The following is a 21,547-nucleotide window of genomic DNA, read 5'->3' on the forward strand; positions in this document are numbered from 1 at the left end:
GAAAATTAAAATAAAAAATTCACCAGACTACTCATCAGATTTTTTGCAATCCAGAGGACAATGGAGTAATTCTTTAAAGTAATGAAGGAAAAAAAAAACACACCTCACAACGCAGAAATATCTCCCCAAAATGAAAGCAAAACAACCAGTTTTCAGATAATTAAAAGTTAAGATAATTCAATGTCGGCATACCTGCACTACAAGAAATGGTAAACGAAGTTCTTTAAGTAGAAGGTATATGACACTGAACAAAAATGAGGACCTACATGAAGAAGTGGATACCTCCAGAAATGGCAAAAACAGAAGTCAATGCGAGATCTTTTTTTCACATTTTTAATCATTCTGAAAGATAACTGCCTAAAGCAAAAACAGTAGCAGTGTATTGTAGAGATTATAAAAAATATAAAAGTAAGATGTATGACAATATCATATAGGATGAAGAGGAAAAACTGGAAATATACTGTATTGTTAGGATCTCATACTATATGAGAAGTAGTATAATATGGGAAGGTAGGTTGTGATGTATCTTGTAAATCCAAGGACAATCACTAAATTTTTATAAAAAGGTATAACTAATACATCAATAATAGAGATAAAATTGAATTTTAAAAAACCCTCAATCTAAAAGCAGGAATAAAGAGGAAAGGGGAAACAGGTTAGAGACAAATAGAAATCAACTGGCAAGATAACAGACTTAAATTCAACCATATTAATAATTATGTTAAATGTAAACAGTCTATACATACCAGTTAAAAGGCTGAGATTATCACAATACCCAGTTATATGTTTCTATAAGAAATCCATTTTAAAAACATAGATAGGTTACAAGTAAAATGATGGAAAAAGATACCAAGCACATACTAATCAAAAGAAAGCTAGAGAGGTTACATAAATTTACACAAAGTAGATTTGAAATAAATATTGAAAGCAATAGAGAGACATCACATAATGATGAGTTAATTCATCGAAAAGATATAACGATCCTTAATATGTATGCACCTGACATCAGAGCTTAACAGCATACGATGTAAGAATTCACAGAATTGTAAGGAGAAATACACATATCCATAATTAACAGTGGACTTAACACTCCACTTCTGGTAATCCATAGTGTGTAGAAAAAAATTTCTATCTAGAAGATACCAATAACACTACAACCAACTTTACCTAATTAACATTTACAGAACACCTCACCCTACAAGAGCAGAATATACATTCTTTTCAAGTGAACATGGAACGTTCACCAATACAGCCTATATTCTTGGCCATAAAACAAACCTCAACAAATTTGAAAGAATTAAAATTATATTATCCAACTACAAAAAAATTAAATTTGAAATTAACAGAAAGATATCAGGAAAATCCATAAATAAAAATAAAACACATTTCTAGACAATACATGGATCAAAAAGGAAGTAACAAGGGAAACCAGAAAATACTTGGAATAGAATCAAAATCAAAACAACATGAAAATTTACAGAATGCAACTTAAACAGTGCTTAGACAAAAGTTTATAGCATTAAAGCTTGTATTAGGGAAGAAGAAAGACCTCAAATCAATTAAACTTCCACCTAAGAAACTAAAATTGGAGACCAAATTAAACCCAAAGGAAGCAGAAGAAATCATAATGAACGAAAATCAATGAAATTAAGAACAGAAAAATAAGTCGTGAAAAGGAAAGAAACCAAAGCGAGTTTTTTATAAACCTCTAAGTAGAATGATCAAGTAAAAAAAGGAAAAAGACACAATTTACCAGTATTAGGACTCAAAGAGGAGACATCATGAGGTATACATTAAAGGAAAATAATGGAATATTATTAGCAAATTTCTGTATATAAATTTGAACTTAGATAAGTTGAATAACTCCACAAAAGTGAAAGCTACCGAAGCTCACTCAAGAAGATATAGAGTAGCCAGGTGTGGTGGCTCACGCCTGTAATCCCAGCACTTTGGGAGGCCGAGGCAGGCGGATCACCTGAGGTTGGGAGTTCAAGACCAGCCTGACCAACATGGAGAAACCGTCTTTACTAAAAATACAAAATTAGCCAGGCGTGGGGAGCATTCCTGTAATCCCAGCTACTCGGGAGGCTGAGGCAGGAGAATTGCTTGAACCTGGTTGCAGTGAGCCAAGAGGTTGCAGTGAGCCAAGATCGCACCATTGCACTCCAGCCTTGGCAACAAGAGTGAAACTCCGTCTCACCAAAAAAAAAAAAAAAAAAAAGAAACAGAGAATTTGAACAGTCCTTTACCTATGAAAGATGGTAAATTTACAGTTAAACGCCTTCCAACAAAGAGAACTCCAGGCGCAGATGACTTCGCTGGTGAATTTTACTGTATTTAAGGAAGAAATAATATCAATTTTACATAAACTCTTCCAGAAAAGAGAAAAGGAGGGGACACTTCCCACCTCATTTCATGAGGCCAGCATTACCTTGACATCAAACGCAGCAAATACAAGAAACCATCAACCAAAGACAAAGATCAAAACAAGTGACATTAAACTCCTTAACAAAGTACCAGCAAATTGAATCCTGCAATATATAAAAAAGATAATGAGAGACAGGACTAGCTGGATTTCCTAGGCCGACTAAGAATTCCTAAGCCTAGCTGGGAAGGGGACTGCACCCACCTTTAAACACGGGGCTTATAACTCAGCTCACACCTGACCAATCAGGTAGTAAAGAGGGCTCACTAAAATACAAATTAGGCTAAAAGCAGGAGGTAAAGAAATAGTCAAATCATATATCGCCTGAGAGCACAGGAGGAGGGACAATGACTGGGATATAAACCCAGGCATTTGAGCAGGTAGTGGCAACCCCCTTTGGGTCCCCTCCCATTGTATGGGAGCTCTGTTTTCACTCTTATTAAATCTTGCAACTGCACACTCTTCTGGTCCGTGTTTGTTCCGGCTCAAGCTGAGCTTTCGCTCCCTGTCAACTACTGCTGAACGCCGTCACAAGACCCGCCGTTGACTTTCACCCCTCCGGATCCGGCAGGGTGTCCGCTGTGCTTCTGATCCAGCGAGGTGCCCATTGCCACTCCTGATCGGGCTAGAGGCTCACCATTGTTCCTGCACAGCTAAGTGCCTGGATTCATCCTAATCGAGCTGAATGCTAGTCTCTGGGTTCCACGGTTCTCTTCCGTGACCCATGGCTTCTAACAGAGCTATAGAACTCACTGCGTGGGCCAAGGTTCCATTCCTTAGAATCTGTGAGGCCAAGAACCCCAGGTCAGAGAACAAAAGGCTTGCTGCCATCTTGGGAGCGGCCCACCACCATCTTGGGAGCTCTAAGAACAAAGACCTGCTGGTAACAATAATACATCAAGATCAAGTGAGATTTATCCTAGGAATGCAAGAGTGAGTCAATCCTCAAAAACATCAGTCAATATAATTCACCGTATCAACAGACCAAAGGAAAAACCCCATGGTCATCGTGATACACAAAAAGCATGTAACAAAATTCAAAATCCATTTATGATAAAAACTCTCAGCAAATTTGGAACAAAAGGTAACTTCCTCAACTTGATAAAAGGCATTGACAAAAAACGTATAGTTAATGTGAATGAATTATTTTCCCTTAAATTCAGGAACAACACAAAGACATCTAATTTCATCACACTGACTCAATATCATGTGAGGAGGAGGAATCCTAGCCAGTGCAATAAGACAAGAAAAAGGAACAGAAGCCATAAAGAGTAAACAGGAAGAAATAAAATGGTTATTTGCACTTGACATAACTAATCATAACATAGAAAATTCCAAAGAATCTATAAAAAGAGCTTCTAGAACTATAATTTAATAAGGTCATAGGCTATAAGATTGACATATAAAAATCAATTACATTTCAACATACTATCAAGAAACAATTGCAAATTAACATTTTTTAAAGTACCATTTAAAATAGTGTCCAAAAAACATACTTAGAGAAATACTTAGAGACAACTCTAATTAAGCATAGCCTTGTAATTGTTATAAACTAACTTTAAATTGGCCAATCTCTTCTGTTACAGAAATACTATCTGATAGCCTAAGTAGCCTAAACCTTCCAAATGAGCTGACTTATTTTATTCTTCTCTTTGGAGTTGATAAGAGAATAAGTCAGCTTATTCAGGATTTTGGAATAATTAGCAAGCCTTTCAGATGAATCAGCTTTCCTTTCAGTAGAGGGTCTCTTCTCTCATGCTTTTCATTGACAAAGGTTCATCCCAAGAGTTCACACCATAAGGTTAGTATCTTGGAACTAGGAAACAAAAAAATGGTATGCAGCCTCAGAAAATTAAAAGCTTGCAAAAGTAAAGTTCTCTCTGGTAAGTGGGGAACTGATCACACTGAAAACTGACAAGCTTTAATACTCACTTCCCAAAGTAAGTCATAATGACACTAACGTGTACAAAGGATAGCCTCCTATTAATAACGCAGTGACACATCTAACTGACCAGAGTTGGACTGCCTAACCCAAGAGCAGTCAATGCCTGAACAGGCCAGCAACTGATGACATTTCTGTAGTGAAAAACAAACCAAAAAAAACCCAAAAAAACCCTGCTGGGCAAAATAGACTCTCTCAAATTTGAAATGGAATGTACCAAAAGAATAAAGCATTAAGCAATAGGAGTAAACGCTGAGAAGTCATGAAATTCAGAGACCCTGGAGGAGCCATGAGGGAGGGACCTTGGGCATGGAAAAAGTAAGAGGGAGCATAGTGTATAAGCAAGCAGAAGCTATAAAGTAGAGGCAGGTAGCAGCAGGTAGGATGAGGAAGCCAGTAGGTGGGAAAAGAAGGGTGAGGCTGACCCATAGGGAGTGGTGTAAATGGCAAAATCCTAGAGAGACTATCCAAGAAAACCTGCTTATGAAAGCCCCTGGAGTTGTCCTGGATCCAGCAGGATAAATGTGTTAGTCATCATCTATTGCCACAATAACGCTGAACAACAGACCACAAAATCTCAGTGTCATACAACAATAAGAATTTTATTTTCACTCAGGCATCTGAGTTGCGCTGGCACTGCTTTAAGTTCAGGTCGGCTCAGGTGGCTCTGCTGTATGGTCTCACAATGAGAAACAGGCTGAAGAGGCTGTGGCAATTCAGGGTTTTTCTTCTCATAGTCATGACAGAGGCACTAGAGGATAAGCCCATCAGCCCAAGCATACTACTAACCTCTGCTTTTGTCTTGTCCACTAACATCCCACTGGGCCAAGGTAAGTCATATACCCATGCCCAAAATGAAGAGGCAGGTACAAAAACCCATCTCACATGAGGTTATGGCAGGGTAAAGACGTAGAAAACTACTACAGGAGAGTGAGGAATTGAGACCAATGATTCAGTCTCCTACACTACTCCACACCACTTCTCTAAGCTAGTTAGGCCTAAATCTTTGTACCCTGCAAACTAAAAGAGTCTAACTAAACAGAGAGAGCAAGAAAATTTTCTAGGACCAAAGACATGCTACTCTAGCTCCCACTCTCTAATGCAATGTCATCTAAGGACCCTGATCTCCCCTTTCTCCCCTTATAGGATATGGTCTAAAATTATTTTGTTGAAATATTTCTAATCAAAAGGTGATTGGGGGGATTCTTAAGAAAGCCAGGAAAAGAGACACAACAAAAAAAGAGAATTTTAGACCAATATCCCTGATGAACATCGATGCAAAAATCCTCAATAAAATACTGGCAAACCGAATCCAGCAGCACATCAAAAAGCTTATCCACCATGATCAAGTGGGCTTCATCCCTGGGATGCAAGGCTGGTTCAACATACGCAAATCAATAAACGTAATCTGGCATATAAACAGAACCAAAGACAAAAACCACATGATTATCTCAATAGATGCAGAAAAGGTCTTCGACAAAATTCAACAGCCCTTCATGCTAAAAACTCTCAACAAATTAGGTATTGATGGGACATATCTCAAAATACTAAGAGCTATTTATGACAAACCCACAGCCAATATCATACTGAATGGGCAAAAACTGGAAGCATTCCCTTTGAAAACTGGCACAAGACAGGGATGCCCTCTCTCACCACTCCTATTCAACATAGTGTTGGAAGTTCTGGCCAGGGCAATCAGGCAGGAGAAAGAAATAAAGGGTATTCAATTAGGAAAAGAGGAAGTCAAACCGTCCCTGTTTGCAGATGACGTGATTGTATATTTAGAAAACCCCATCATCTCAGTCCAAAATCTCCTTAAGCTGATAAGCAACTTCAGCAAAGTCGCAGGATAGAAAATCAATGTGCAAAAATCACAAGCATTCTTATACACCAATAACAGGCAAACAGAGAGCCAAATTATGAGTGAACTCCCATTCACAATTGATTCAAACAGAATAAAATACCTAGGAATCCAACTTACAAGGAATGTGAAGTACCTCTTCAAGGAGAACTACAAATCACTGCTCAACGAAATAAAAGAGGACACAAACAAATGGAAGAACATTCCATGCTCATGGATAGGAAGAATCAATATCGTGAAAATGGCCATACTGCCCAAGGTAATTTATAGCTTCAATGCCATCCCCATCAAGCTATCACTTTCTTCACAGAATTGGAAAAAACTACTTTAAAGTTCATATGGAACCAAAAAAGAGTCCGCATTGCCAAGTCAATCCTAAGCCAAAAGAACAAAGCTGGAGGCATCACGCTACCTGACTTCAAACTATACTACAAGGCTACAGTAACCAAAACAGCATGGTACGGGTACAAAACAGAGATATAGACCAATGGAACAGAACAGAGCCCTCAGAAGTAATACCACACATCTACAACCATCTGATGTTTGACAAACCTGACAAAAACAAGAAATGGGGAAAGGATTCCCTATTTAATAAATGGTGCTGGGAAAACTGGCTAGCCATATGTAGAAAGCTGAAGTTCGATCCCTTCTTTACACCTTATACAAATACGAATTCAAGATGGATTAAAGACTTACATGTTAGACCTAAAACCATAAAAACGCTAGAAGAAAACCTAGGCAATACCATGCAGGACACAGGCATGGGCAAGAACTTCATGTCTAAAACACCAAAAGCAATGGCAACAAAAGCCAAAATTGACAAATGGGAAGTAATTAAACTAAAGAGCTTCTGCACAGCAAAAGAAACTACCATCAGAGTGAACAGGCACCCACAGAATGGGAGAAAATTTTTACAATCTACTCATCTGACAAAGGGCTAATATCCAGAATCTACAAAGAACTCTAACAAATTTACAAGAAAAAAACAACCCCATCAACAAGTGGGCAAAGGATATGAACAGACATTTCTCAAAAGAAGACATTTATGCAGCCAAAAGACTCATGAAAAAATGCTCATCATCACTGGCCATCAGAGAAATGCAAATCAAAACCACAATGAGATACCATCTCACACCAGTTAGAATGGCGATCATTAAAAAGACAGGAAATAACAGGTGCTGGAGAGGATGTGGAGAAATAGGAACACTTTTACACTGTTGGTGGGACTGTAAACTGGTTCAACCATTGCGGAAGACAGTGTGGCGATTCCTCAGGGATCTAGAACTAGAAATACCATTTGACCCACCCATCCCATTACTGGGTATATACCCAAAGGATTATAAATCATGCTGCTATAAAGACACATGCACACGTATGTTTACTGCAGCACTATTCACAATAGCAAAGATTTGGAACCAACCCAAATGTCCAACAATGATAGACTGGATTAAGAAAATGTGGCACATATACACCATGGAATACTATGCAGCCATAAAAAAATGATGAGTTCATGTCCTTTGTAGGGACATGGATGAAGCTGGAAAGCATCATTCTCAGCAAACTATTGCAGGGACAAAAAACCAAATGCTGCATGTTCTCACTCATAGGTGGGAATTGAACAATGAGAACACTTGGACACAGGAAGGGGAACATCACACACCGGGGCCTGTTGTGGGGTGGGGGGAGGGGGGAGGGATAGCATTAGGAGATATACCTAATGTAAATGACGAGTTAATGGGTACAGCACACCAACATGGCACATGTATACCTATGTAACAAACCTGCACAATGTGCACATGTACCCTAGAACTTAAAGTATAATTTTACATATATATATATATACACACACACACACACACACACACACACATATATATATACATATATATATAAAAGAAAGCCAGGAGATTGGGAGGCCAAGGTGGGCAGATCACTTGAGGTCGAGAGTTCAAGACCAGCCTGGCCAACATGAAGAAACTCCGTCTCTACTAAAAAATAAAAAAAATTAGCTGGGCATGGTAGCGTGTGCCTATAATACCAGCTATTCGGGAGGCTGAGGCAGGAGAATCACTTGAACCCGGGAGGCGGAGGTTGTGGTAAGCCAAGATTGCACCATTGCACTCCAGCCTGGGCAACAAGAATGAAACTCCAAATCAAAAGAAAAAACAAAGCCAGTAGACATGTCTAGAAAATACGGCTGCAACCATTCAAGGATTTTCACAGATGGAAGGTGCCGATAAAACATACAGACCACTCCACTAAGGTATAAAGAATTTCAAGGCTGGGCGCAGTGGCTCACGCCTGTAATCGCAGCCCTCTGGGAGGCCAAGGCAGGCAGATCACAAGGTCAGGAGATCAAGACCATCCTGGCTAAGACAGTGAAACCCCGTCTCTACTAAAAATACAAAAAATTAGCCAGGTGTGGTGGCGTGTGCCTGTAGTCCCAGCTACTCAGGAGGCAGAGGCAAGAGAATGGCGTGAACCCAGGAGGCAGAGCTTGTAGTGAGCCGAGATCGTGCCGCTGCACTCCAGCCTGGGCGACAGAGTGAGACTCTGTATCAAACAAACAAAAAAAAAGAATTTCAAATCAGACTCCCGTGAGTCCAATGGTCACAGGTTCCCAATATCCAAAGCTTTTGAGTACTATCAGCATTTTCATGGTTTAAAAAACAAAACAAAACAAAAAAAACTTTTGTAAGTGGTATTCTCTACCTAATTTCTTTTTTTTAAAAAAAGGACATGAACCACACACACAAGAAAAGTGGGTAAAGTCAAATCTAAGTGTAGAGTAGAATGAAATGGCAGAAAACAAAATAGAAAAACTTGGAAAGTTAACACATTTAATTTGCTGGAGTAATAGGTAATGTTTACTGTCTTAAACGAGAGTCTTTTGAGAAAGATAGTTTTCCTCAAAAATAAGTAAAATCTAGATATACTTTTGAACTATGATCCATTTCAAACAATTAATTTACTCCTTTTTAAAAGTATTAACAATGACACAATAGTAGTACTTCATTTAAAGACAACGAGTACACATATTCATACAAATAGAAACTGGAGCTACCATGCACACTACATTTGCTGCTGTTCAAAGATTTAAAAATGCCTGCTTCTGACCTAGACTATCCTGGCAAAATCTAATTAGTGGTCAAGAAGTCCATGACTAAGGGAAGGAACAAAAAGGCAATGGAACAGCACTGGCATTAGCAGGGATGCAACATGAGAACACCCGGGGATGCCATGACTTCCCAAGATTCCCTGTTTTACATTAGGCTGGGTCTAACACCAGAGGGTGTGAGCTAACATACCTTAGTACAAACTCTGTGACACATACCATTATAATAAATACTATTACACTGAAATCAAAGATTTCCAGTTCTCAGGTATCTAAAACGTGCCCCTCCAAAACTCAATTTAAGAAATAATTTAAGAAGTGACTATGTAAAAGCACTTCCTTAAAAGACTTCCTTAAACAAGAAAGAAAAAACCTATCCCTCCACCCTCTTTGTGGCAAAAACAACAGAAAAATCAAAATACAATCCTTCTACAGAAAACAATTTCTTGCCTCCAAGGAGAAGATTCAGGCATTTTAAAACAGTTCTTTGGTATCCAAATGTTTTGATAAGGAGAATGCCAACACTGTTTAACTCAGCCCAATCAAAAAGGGGGGGGGGGGTTAAATAGTAAAAGAGGGATATGGTTTGTTCATCACTAGAATAAATTCAGAGTTATAAAAGTTATGAAATTATCTCCCTTGTGATGCTCACATGGCCTTTACACTTTGGTTTCTTTACTTCTTAGTCTCTATTTTCAGCATTAATTTATGAGAACACACAAGGAGTTAAGCTATACTACCCAAAGGCTTTCTGTATGCACAGACCCAAGCCACTAAGAACTCAGAGATGGCACTTTAAAAGCAAGCCCAGCACCCACAGGGGTCCCACATGACTTTGGCCTACAACACTGCTACCTGCTGATATTGCAGCTCTTCTAGCCTGTTTTTCTCTGGTGACAACCCCCCAAAAACCCAACTCTTAATATAATAAGTTTTGAAACATGGGTGTTATAAGCTGCAGTGTCTGACCCCCAAATTCATATGCTGAAGCCCTAAACTCTATTTCCTCAGCATGTGACTGTATTTGGAGATAGGGTCTTTAAAGAGGTAAGTTAAAAGGAGGCCATTACTGTGACTTCTAATCCAATATGACTGGTATCCTTACAAAAAGATGAGATGTGGACATAGATAAACACAGAGAAAAGACCATGTGAGGATATGGCAAGAGGCAGCTATCTACAAGCGAAGAGAAGAAAGAAACCGAACCTGCTGACATCTTGATCTTGGACTTCCAGGCACCAGAATTGTGAGAACGTAATTTCTATTCTTTAAGCTATCCAGTCCGTAGTATTTTGGTATGGCCCTAACGAACTAATGCAATGGAGAACAAATTTTGCTTAAAAAAAAAAAAAAAATCCCATGATCAAGAAGAGATGCTACTTCTAAATCTACCCTTATGGGATTTTTGATGGCTTAATGGAACACCTCAATTCATCTCAATTATTGAAAAAAACACCACATTCATAATAAGCATCCCTATAGTTTTTATCTAACCTCATAAAGGTGTTCCACAGTATCAATAGTAAAGCACTGTTGGAACCTTTTTACCTAGCTGCAGCTCACTTCCACTCTTTGCCTTCTCCACTATGGTATTTTCAGGACCATATGCTAAAGTGGTCACATCCCATGGCTCCAGCCTAAGATGGAAGTCAAACTTATATGACAATGTTTTCCTCAAAATTTCTTCCCAAAGTGATGTTTTTGGCATTCTTACACCAATCTAAAATCAAAGTACTGGTACTGCAGGTCTCTGAAGACATTGTGCTCCACTTCACACCTCCACATCTGTGCACGAGCTATCATGCCCTTTGACTATCTGGAAAACTCCTAATAATCTTTTAAGAATCAGAAGAAACTCACCACCTCTATAAAGTCTTTTGAAAACCATTTTCACCACCTAAAAGTTGACCTACCACCCATTGTGATTATTTGTGCCAGAAACAATAAGTTCCTCTTCAAAGCTTGCTTGGTCTTTCTTGCTCTGTACACAAGCCCTTCCTGCTTAATCTGTAATGAACACTTGTTTCTCTGCTTAATCTATAACTAGCAAATCTCTGACTCTGTAAACAACCCTTCCCAACTAGTTGGTAATGGACAGCCTCTCCCTTCTCGCCTAATTGACCTTATTCAATTTCAAACACTAGCCAATCGGGTCAGCTTAGACTGTGTGGTCCAACTCCACCCAATGGGGGAAAGGACACAGGAACTGTGTTAGGGATAAAAACCCCTGCCCTACCCTGCTCAGTGTGTTCTTGTGATCGGACAGGTGCAGGTAGCACCCTTCTGCAGAAGTAAATGTGTCTTGCTGAGAAACTTTCTAAGTGCTGGTTTTTCTTTGTGGCACTGAGCACTTGTCTCTAACAATTTGAGGGATCGTCCAGGATCCCATTCTCCTCTGGGGAAGGGTCTCTGATCATCTCTTGTGAGGAGATGTGTCCCACTGCCTTGTTGCAGTGGCCTCAGGGGTGAGGGATCGAGACCCACCTGGTGTGACGAATAAACCCAGACTCTCAGCAACGCAGGAGGAAAGGGCCTACTGATACTGTGGCGACCCAGTAACTGTGCACAGACCAATGTAAGAAAATCCATGGGGCAGTGAAGTACTTCCTTGGTGGTCAGGACACCCTGGAAGTTGAAAGTGTGTGAATGAGATGCAGAATTAAGTCTGAAGCAAGTGTGGAGTCCAGATTTGCAGTTCTGTGGTCACCTCATACAGCTTAAGGTGGGGCACGCCTTTCCTGTCGGGGGTTTATACCAACCCACCAATGCTAAGAGGGACCTAAATTCCCATGAGGGAAGCGGCCCAAGAAGGATGAAGGGAAGGCAAAGGAGTGCAAGAAACCTCCAGTGGGGTGGTTGAGCCTCCAGAGAAAGGGTGCAAGAAATCTCTAGTAAGAGAGGTTTAGCCCCACACATGCAGGAAACTCAGGGAAACACCTAAAACTTCCAGGATGGGAAATAACCCAAGCAGGACAGGAAATATAAAGGACTAGACAGACAATAAAATTCCCTCTAATAGCCCTCCAGGTCTCATGTTAAAATACTGTAAGGGTAATGAAAGGACTAAACATTAGAAAAAGCAACAAATGATAAAATATTGTTGTTTTATTTGGACCAAAGAACCCACCCTTGAACCCTCAGTTTGCTTTTTTTTTTGGCCAGTTTGGGTCAAATGAGGATTGGATTTGTCAACTTCTAATAGAATATGTCAATGACAAAAGTCCTGTCTCCCAGGAGGAAATAGACTATGCCCTGTGCTGGCGGCAGGGGCCTGTCCTCCTCTACCCCCTAAAAGCTACAGGAAATAAGCCAAAAGCTACCTCCCCTGAAAACAGAATCCCTACCCCCAAGCAGTCTAACACCACATGGGACCCTTTAGACAACCTTCCCCCACCCACCGCTCTGCCCCAAGCTGAACACTCAGTCCCTCCACCATATAACCCTGCCCTGCGGGCCCCGTCACCCCACATTCCTATGGAGTAGTCGCCCAAACATGCCCCTCCCTCAGAGAAGCTCCAACGAGAAATAGAACAATGCCACAGGGACACTCACAACTTCCCTTTCCTCTCCTAAAAGGAGTCTGCCCCAACCCTTTTTCCCTTAAGAGAAGTGCCACGTGGAGGAATGGGAATTGGCTTTGTAAATGCCCCCTTAACTAGTTTAGAGGTCAGAAACCTGAAGAGGGAACTTAAACCACTATTAGATGATCCTTTTGGGGTCACGGATCAAATTGACCAATTTTTAGGACCACAAGTATACACTTGGGCTGAGTTAATGTCCATCTTCAGTATTCTCTTTTCGAGGGAGGAAAGAACCATGATCCGCAGGGCTGCTATGATAGTCTGGGAGCACAAACATCCTCCCGGTCAAAATATCCCTGCAGCAGAACAAAAATTTCTGGCCCAAGACCCGCAATGGGATAATAACAATGCAGCCCACCGAGAAAACTTGAAAGACCTTAGGGAAATGATAGTTAAAGGGATTCAGGAATCAGTGCCTTGAACCCAAAGTATTTCCCGAGCATTTAATATACAGCAGGGAAAAGATGAAGGGCCCATGGAGTTTTTAAACAGACTCAAGGAACAGATGAGAAAATATGTAGGCTTAGACACAGAGGATCCCCTTGGGCAGGGGATGTGAAAGCTCCATTTTGTTACTAATAGTTGGCCAGATATCACAAAGAAATTACAAAAAATAGAGAACTGGAAATGGAAAGATCGGCCTATAGAGGAACCTTTGAGGGAGGCCCAAAAAGTATATGTAAGAAGGGATAAAGAAAAGCAAAAGCAAAAGGCAAAAAATCATGCTGTCCGCTCTACAACAAAGTACCCGAGGGTCCAAAACCTGTAAAGAACTTAAGCCCCCACTCACTAGGCCATATAAAGGGTATGTAAAAGCAAAGCAAGGAAACTTAAAAACAGGGAGAGAAAGAGGGCAAAACAAATGTTTCAAATGTGGAAGAATAGGTCACTTCAAAAGAGAATGTCCCAAATGGGAAAAAGAAAAAGAAGTCATCCCACTTACGGCCTTTGAAGAAGAATAGGGAGGTCAGGGATTCTGTTTCTTTTATCTCAAGTACCACCAAGAGCCCCTTATAAATTTAGAGGTGGGACGTAAATCCGAACTGCTCCCCGGAAAGACATCAGCTTATCTCCTTATGAAATGTTTTATGGGTTGCCTTATTTAAATTCCACTACGGACCTCCCGACATTTGAGACAAAGGATCAGTTTCTTAAAAACTATGTATTTGGTCTGTCTTCTACCCTTTCCTTTCTCAGGACTCAAGGCCTCCTAGCGCAAACTCCACCCCTTGAATTCGCAGTTCACCAACACCAACCTGGAGATCATGTCCTTATCAGAAGTTGGAAAGAGGGAAAGCTCGAACCCACCTGGGAAGGACCCCTTATCTAGTGCTCCTAACGACTGAAACAGCAGTCTGAACCACTGAGAAGGGGTTGACCCACCATACCCGGGTCAAAAAGGCATCGCCCTCTCCAAAGTCAAGGACCATCATCCCAGGACCAACCCCCATCAGAGTAATGTTAAAGAAAAAAGCCTAATCTGTCTATCCTTTTTTTTTTCCTCTTCTCTTTCCCTTAGCTACCCCACATCTCATTATTAATATAAACGCATCAGAGTCACCGCAAATCATTACTTTTGATGCTTGTCTTGTTATACCCTGTGGAGACTTGCGAAGTCAAAGGCAGCTCTCTACTTTGCCCTTCTTGGAAATTCTCAGACTGGGCAGATTCTATTAACTGGGGAGTTCCCTTAGACTTGGGATATTATTTTTAAAATTCTGTTAACTGGGAATCCCGTCCTCTGCAAACAGAGCGTCTCTGCCATAGCTGGTCCAATGTTCTATGGACTACGAAAAATCAGGGTTGGACCTCCCCAACAAGTCTCTGTGTATCCCTAAAACTATACAATTGTTTCACTAAAGGAAGCCCCCCCACCAATTGCCAGCAAAACTAATGTAATCCAGTACAAATTTCCATTACTATCTCAATTTCCCAAAATTCCTCCCTTCATTAAGTCGTTTCTAGGGTATGGGAGCAGAGGTCGCAGGGGCAGACTCTACAGGATTTTTCAAAATTAGTTTCGTTGCCTCGTCATCCCCTCCGCCCTCTCCTTCAAACCTTCTAATCAAACTACTAGTCTCTCCCTACAATGCAATGGCTCCCAAAGTAGCCACTGTAGAAGTTAAAGATTTAAAACCCACCCTAGCTATTGAAACAGGGTACCAAGATGCAAATGCCTGGCTAGCACGGATTAAATATTCCGTCCGCAAACTAAACAAAAGCGACTGTTAACGCTTGTGCAACGGGCAGGCCAGAAACCCAAATCATCCCCTTTCTACTTGGATGGTCCTCCGACCAACAGGGTATGAGCTGTATGGTATCTCTCTTCCAAAACCCCACAGCCTGGGGCAATAAGGCATGCCAAACTCTCTTGCTGTTATTCCCGGAAGTTAAAAGCCCTGCGGGTCAGCCCCCAAGGGCCATCTGTCCTCCAGGTACCAATGTCAATTTCACCTCGTGTCTCTCACAGCAAGGGGAAAACTTGGCATTCCTTGGAAATCTAGCAAGATGAAGTAAGCCTAAGCCTTTCTAGGAGCTAACCAATCAGTCTGCCCTTGTTCATCCCCAAGCAGATGTATGGTGGTACTGTGGTGGACCACTATTGGGTACTCTGCCAAATAAGTGGGGCAACACTTGCGCCCTAATTCAATTGGCCATCCCACCCTGGCATTTCGTCGACTAAGCAAAAAGGACAATCACAAAAAAAGGAGTACTCCCTACGGGTCCTCTGACCCTTACATTTACATAGATGCCATCGGAGTTCCACGAGGAGTGTTAAATGAATTTAAAGCCCAAAATCAAATAGCTACAGGATTTCAATCTATATTGTTCTCATGGGAAACTGTAAACAAAAGTGTAGACTGGATAAATTACATTTACTATAATCAACAGCAGTTTGTCAATTATACTAGGGATGCCATTAAAGGAATAGCTGAACAATTAGGTCCTAACAGCCAAATGGCTTGGGAAAACAGGATAGCCCTGGACATGATATTAGCCAAGAAAGGTGGGAGTCTGTGTCATGATTGGGGTCCAATGCTGTACTTTTATCCCTAACAACACAGCCCCCGATGGAACAATTACAAAAGCCTGGGCCTTACCACCCTAGCAAATGAATTAGCCGAAAATTCTGGAATAGATTACCCCTTCTCTGGTCTCATGGAAAAATGGTTTAGAAAATGGAAGGGACTCATAACCTCAATCTTTACCCCCCTTGCAATTGCTATAGGTGTACTCATTCTTGTAGGTTGCTGCACCATACCTCGTATTTGTGGATCAGGGCAAAGGCTTATAAAAACAGCCCCCACCAAAACCCCTCTCGATTCTCCCCCTCCCTACTCGGATAAGTTCCTACTCCCAGACAACCAAGAGGAGCAACAAAGCCAAGATATGTTACAAAAATTTGAAGAGGAAGAACTATAAACTCAAGAGGGGGAAATCTGCCAGACACAATAAGTTCCTCTTCAAAGCTTCCTTCGTCTTTCTCTCTGTACACAGCCCTTCCTGCTTAATCTGTAATGAACACTTGTTTCTCTGCTTAATCTATAACTAGCAAATCTCTGACTCTGTAAACAACCCCTCCCAACTAGTTGGTAATAGACAGCCTCTCCCTTCCCGCCTAATTGGCCTTATTCCATTTTAAACACTAGCCAATTGGGTCAGCTTAGACTGTGTGGTCCAACTCCAGCCAATGGGGAAAGGACACAGAAACAGGAACTATATAGGGATTTAAAACCCTGCTCTACCCTGCTCAGTGTGCTCTTGTGATCAGACAGGTGCAGGCAGCACCATTCTGCAGAAGTAAATGTGCCTTGCTGAGAAATTTTCTAAGTGCTGGTTTTTCTTTGTGGCACCGAGCACTTGTCTGTAACATTTGTGTGTCTGTCTCCTTCAATACACTGAAAAGTCCTTGATGGCAGGAACTGTATTTATCTTTTATCTGTAAACCCCTGTAGAGTGCCTGTAAATGTGTACTGAATAAATGAATGCCACCAACAAATCCAGACCCAACCCTCAATGGCACAAATCATATGTTATAATCAATGCCTCCCAACAATTTGAATCTCACAGATATACTTTGCACTAAAGAAGCCAGATACGAAACAGGACATTTTGTATTATTCCATTTGAAGTTCAATAACAGGCAAAACTAATCTTTGTGACAGAAGCCAGAACTAAGCGGAGTAGGGTAGAGTGAGGGGGGGGTCTTATCCAGGAAGGGTCACAAGAGAACCTTATGGAGTGTTGGAACAGTCTCTATGTTGATCTGAGGGTGGCAGTTACACAGGTATATACATATCTAAAAGAATAATCAAGCAGTATACTTGAGATTAGTACCATTTACTGAAATTTATCTTGTATTTCAAAAACCCAAGTTCTATATATGGCCCTCATCTGCCTCAACCCCCATCCAAACATCAATGCTCAATAAACATTTGTGACTGAACGCCTAAATACTTTCTAAATAACAACAATCAACTACACTATTTTCATATAAGGGAAGAAAAATCTAGTCAAGCAATTGCAGTCAAAGTTTTGGGCTGGAGCTAAGCTAACCACCACCATCACCTCACACAAACAAGAAACTTGCTTCTGTCCAGAGTTGCAGTGTGCCTACAGGTGCTGCATGGGTAGCATTTGCCCCTCCCTATGACTGGCTGGAAACATACCCAGCCCCACTGTTGAGGCATAGGATCCCAATGGCATTTCAAGTCACTAGGAGAAAAAAGTGGAATTTTACAACTGAAGGCTCTATCACATCAAAAATCTAGACACACTGGCAATAAAATCAGAAGAAAACCTCTGCCCACCTTTCCAGGAATTTTCACTTAATCTTTCTGTGACTGTTACCTGCCTGACAAACTCCTATTCATCCTTCAAATCCCAACTCAGATGTTAACTCTTCTGGGAAGTTCTTCCTAACCTCCTCACCCTCCTTCTATGTTCCTTTTACTGTTCTATTACTTTGGTTCACTTCAATTTAAATATTGGTCATGTTTATTTCCCCTGAGATCACATTTGCCATTCTAGCACGAAGTACATGGCAGGGCTCTTTAGAAGCATGAAAATGTCTGTTGAAGTGACTTGAAACACGACTACTACTGGACATGCCTTACAATTTATATGCCCAACTCTAGAGTCCCAAAATAAGTGGTATTTCCTAGATAAGGCACAGTCTGTACTTATGAAGAGGGAGTGAAAAAACTATAAATATTCTCTAGGACAGTGTTATTTTTAGTATTATGGTCACCAGCCTCTAAGAGTGAACTTCAAGGTAGCAACCTGGAGACTAAATGACTCAAAGATTATGGGATCTGCCAGGAAAGGTATGCTCCTGAAGCTATGGTATAGCAGATATGGTCCCAGAAGCAGTGGGTTCACTCGCTTCAAGGCAGGATCTTCAATGCCCTGCATTTATATAAATGTCAGAACAAGTAACTGTGCAACCCCAAACAAGTTACTTTACCTCCCTGTGCCTCAGTTTCCTCATTGGTAAAATGAAGGTAATAACAGAACCCAAAATTTCATGTGGTGTTAAAGGATTAAATGAGATGATACAGTGCCTGGCATATCGTGAGCACTCAATAAATGTTTGCTCCAATTATTTCACTGCTCTGGGACGGGACAGGGATCCCTCAGTTTTATTTGGTCCTGTCATATTCCTGCCCTACCTGGCACCGGCACCAAATCTCTTCTCTGAGCCTCTCCACCCTGGCTTCCTTGCTTGCACAGCTGATTACCCTCACCACACAGGGCCTCCCTCTGGCCATGAACACAACCCAACAAAGCAAAGCTACACTGCATTCTTTAGTCCCTCTCCTCTTCCACTTTCCTAATGAAAACTTAGTTGTTTCCTATTTCATTTCCGTGGTGCTCTATCTCCTTTTGGTTAGCAGATTAATGAGAGCAAACTGATCAAATACCCATGTCCCTACAGTCACTCTCTCAAAGATTCTCATGAATAAACTCAGTTAAATAGAGTAACATGAATTACAAGAATTTCAGGCTCTACTGTCTAATGAGACAAAGCTTCCTTTCCGCTACCCCCTCCTCTCCCTCTCTCTTTCTTCCTGGCAAAGAGAAGAGGGGATGCTGGCACCACAAACCACAAAAAGAAGGTGCCCATTTCACCTTCCTATGAGGCAAGCCCCTTGGTTGACCACCAGAGCAGTTTTACCTGTGGGCTTACCCCAGCCTTCATCTCACACCAAGGAGTAAAACTGCCAGTTTGCTCAAGTTTAAGGGTGTTTAACGAAACACAGTCCAGTGACTGCAGTGAGCACAGTGGTTCAAGGCTGGGTGCTGGCCTGCCTTTCTTGCCTCCCTGGTGGACAGTCTCTAATCCAACTGTGCCTCTGCACTGCTCCTCGCACTGTCATGCTTTTACAAGTCAGTGGGGTCATCACCAGCATTTCTTTTTACATTAAAAAAACCCAGAATTTTAAAAGGACAATTTTATAGCATGTAAATTATATTTCAGTAAAACTTTTTTTGGAGACAGGGTCTCATTCTGTTGCTCAAGCTGAATTGCAGTGGCATGATCATGGGCAATCCTCCTACCTTTGCCTCCTGAGTAGCAGGATCTACAGGTGCACACCACCACACCGGGCTAATTTTTAAAATATTTTGTAGAGATAGGGTCTCAATATGCTGACCAGGCTGGTCTCGAACTCCTGGGCTCACGTGATCTGCCTGCCTCATCCCCTCAAAGTGCTAGGATTACAGGCATGAGCCACCGTGCCTGGCCAAAACTATTTTTAAAAGATTAGAGAATAGAAAATCGAGTGCATCACAAGTGGTGAGAGTAAATACTGAATATTAAAATATTTGAATTATGCTGGGCATGGTGGCTCATGCCTGTAAACCCAGCACTTTGAGAGGCCAAGGTGGGTGGATCACTTGAGGTCAGGAGTTTGAGTCCAGCCTGGCCAACATGGTGAAACCCTGTCTCTACTAAAAATACAAAAATTAGCTGGGTGAGTGGCAGGTGCCAGCAGTCCCAGCTCCGTGGGAGGCTGAGGCTTTGAACCTGGGAGGCGGAGGTTGCAGTGAGCCAAGATCATGCCACTGTACTCCAGCCTGGGCAACAGAGTGAGACTCCATCTCAGAAAAGAAAAGAAAAAAACCTTTGAATTAACAATGCAAACATATACACGTGTGTGTACTAGGCACAATATAGTGTTTTTATCACTATGAGTTATGGTTGCAAGATTACAAAACTCTAGTTTCAGCAGTCAGGAGCTGGCCTAAGGTAAATTCCTTGTGTAAGGAGAGCTAGCAAACCCTTTGGAATGCTTCATTTCAAGGCATTAAGGTTGAGAAACATTGAATTTAAAAAATTCATTTTGGGCTGGGCACGGTGGCTCACGCCTGTAATCCCAGCACTTTGGGAGGCCAAGGCAGGTGGATTGCCTGAGCTCAGGAGTTGGAGACCAGCTTGGGCAACATGGTGAAACCCTGTCTCTACTAAAATACAAAAAAATTAGCTAGGCTTGGCGGTGTGCACCTGTAATCCCAGCTACTTGAGAGGCTGAGGCAGGAGAATCACTTGAACCCAGGGGAAGCAGAGGCTGCAGTGAGCCGAAATCGTGCCACTGCACTCCAGCCTGGGCAAAAGAGCAAGACTCAGTCCCAAAACAAAACAAAACAAAAAAGAATTCATTTCATGAAGCCTAACTCCCAAGATTCTACATCCAGCTGGAAATGACAGGGTTAGCAAGGCCTTACCCTGGGTTCACCTATTCCTGTGTGCATGTGTGCGCATGCGTGTTTGTATAGGAAGGGTGGGGGTGGGTAGGTAGGGGGTGTCAGGGAGAACAGGGGCTGCTAAAGAATGTGATCCTCATGTTCCTAGGCCCCTGGTTGAATATCATCTCATTCTCCATCCCATGCTTAACAATCCAACGAGTGCCCAGGTTTACACAAAAAGATGCTGAGTTCAGTTTTGCACTTGGACAGGCAGGTGGAGCTGCTGAGTGTATGGCTGGAAATAAAGGTTTGGATCACAGGAGAGGGTTGGGATGGAAAAATAGATTCTAGAGTCATCAAAAGTTGAAACAACAAGAAAGAATAGCATGCCCAGGAAGGAGTATAAAACTAGAAGGACATAAGACCAATAAGATATGACTGAGGAATAGTTAAAGATTAGAGGAGTCCTTAATAGTTTTTTAAAAATTAAAACCCCAGGAACTACATAATGACTGGTCATGAAAATCAGTGGTCCTCAAGGAATAGCAGAAGATTCCTAACTCTTCAGGTTGCAGATGTCTTAGAGTTGGCTATGAAAATCATTTCCTAGTCTCATTAATACTATCACAATTTCTTAACTAAGCATGTGGGTGACTCAAATGGCCTTAATCCTAAAACGGAAAATAACTGTCCAGATAAAGCCTCTCCAAGTCTCAGGAAGATTTGAACAAACACGTCTGCACTGGATGTGAGGTTCCACTTTAGAACTCTGCCACCCATCTTCTCTAAGAAGACCAATTCCCCACCTGTGGCGGGGAGCACAGAAAGAGGTAAGCAGGGAAGAAGGCTCAGGAAGCTGGGCCACACCATTTTCCAAGGGTTTTCATTTCCATTTCTGGAATCCTCGGACTACCAGGTCAAACTAATTGATACT

At 41.4% G+C, this 21,547-nt stretch overlaps 1 protein-coding gene across 7 annotated transcripts in view; it reads right to left on the reverse strand.

The window, feature by feature from the left end:
* The window catches only part of CHD6 (chromodomain helicase DNA binding protein 6), a 216,295-nt gene that overhangs the window by 181,228 nt on the left and 13,520 nt on the right, over positions 1-21,547 (reverse strand). The window contains exon 1 of one of the 7 annotated variants that reach the window (XM_047440550.1): positions 1-19,616. This exon is cut by the window's left edge and continues 22,775 nt beyond it. The exons of the other annotated variants lie outside the window; for them this stretch is intronic. The gene's annotated coding sequence lies outside the window, so the exon portion shown is untranslated. Of the gene's footprint in view, positions 19,617-21,547 lie in introns of those variants that run through there. 7 annotated transcript variants of the gene reach the window in all.

This window comes from Homo sapiens, chromosome 20 (assembly GCF_000001405.40).
Source record: "Homo sapiens chromosome 20, GRCh38.p14 Primary Assembly".
Lineage (NCBI taxonomy): Eukaryota > Metazoa > Chordata > Mammalia > Primates > Hominidae > Homo > Homo sapiens.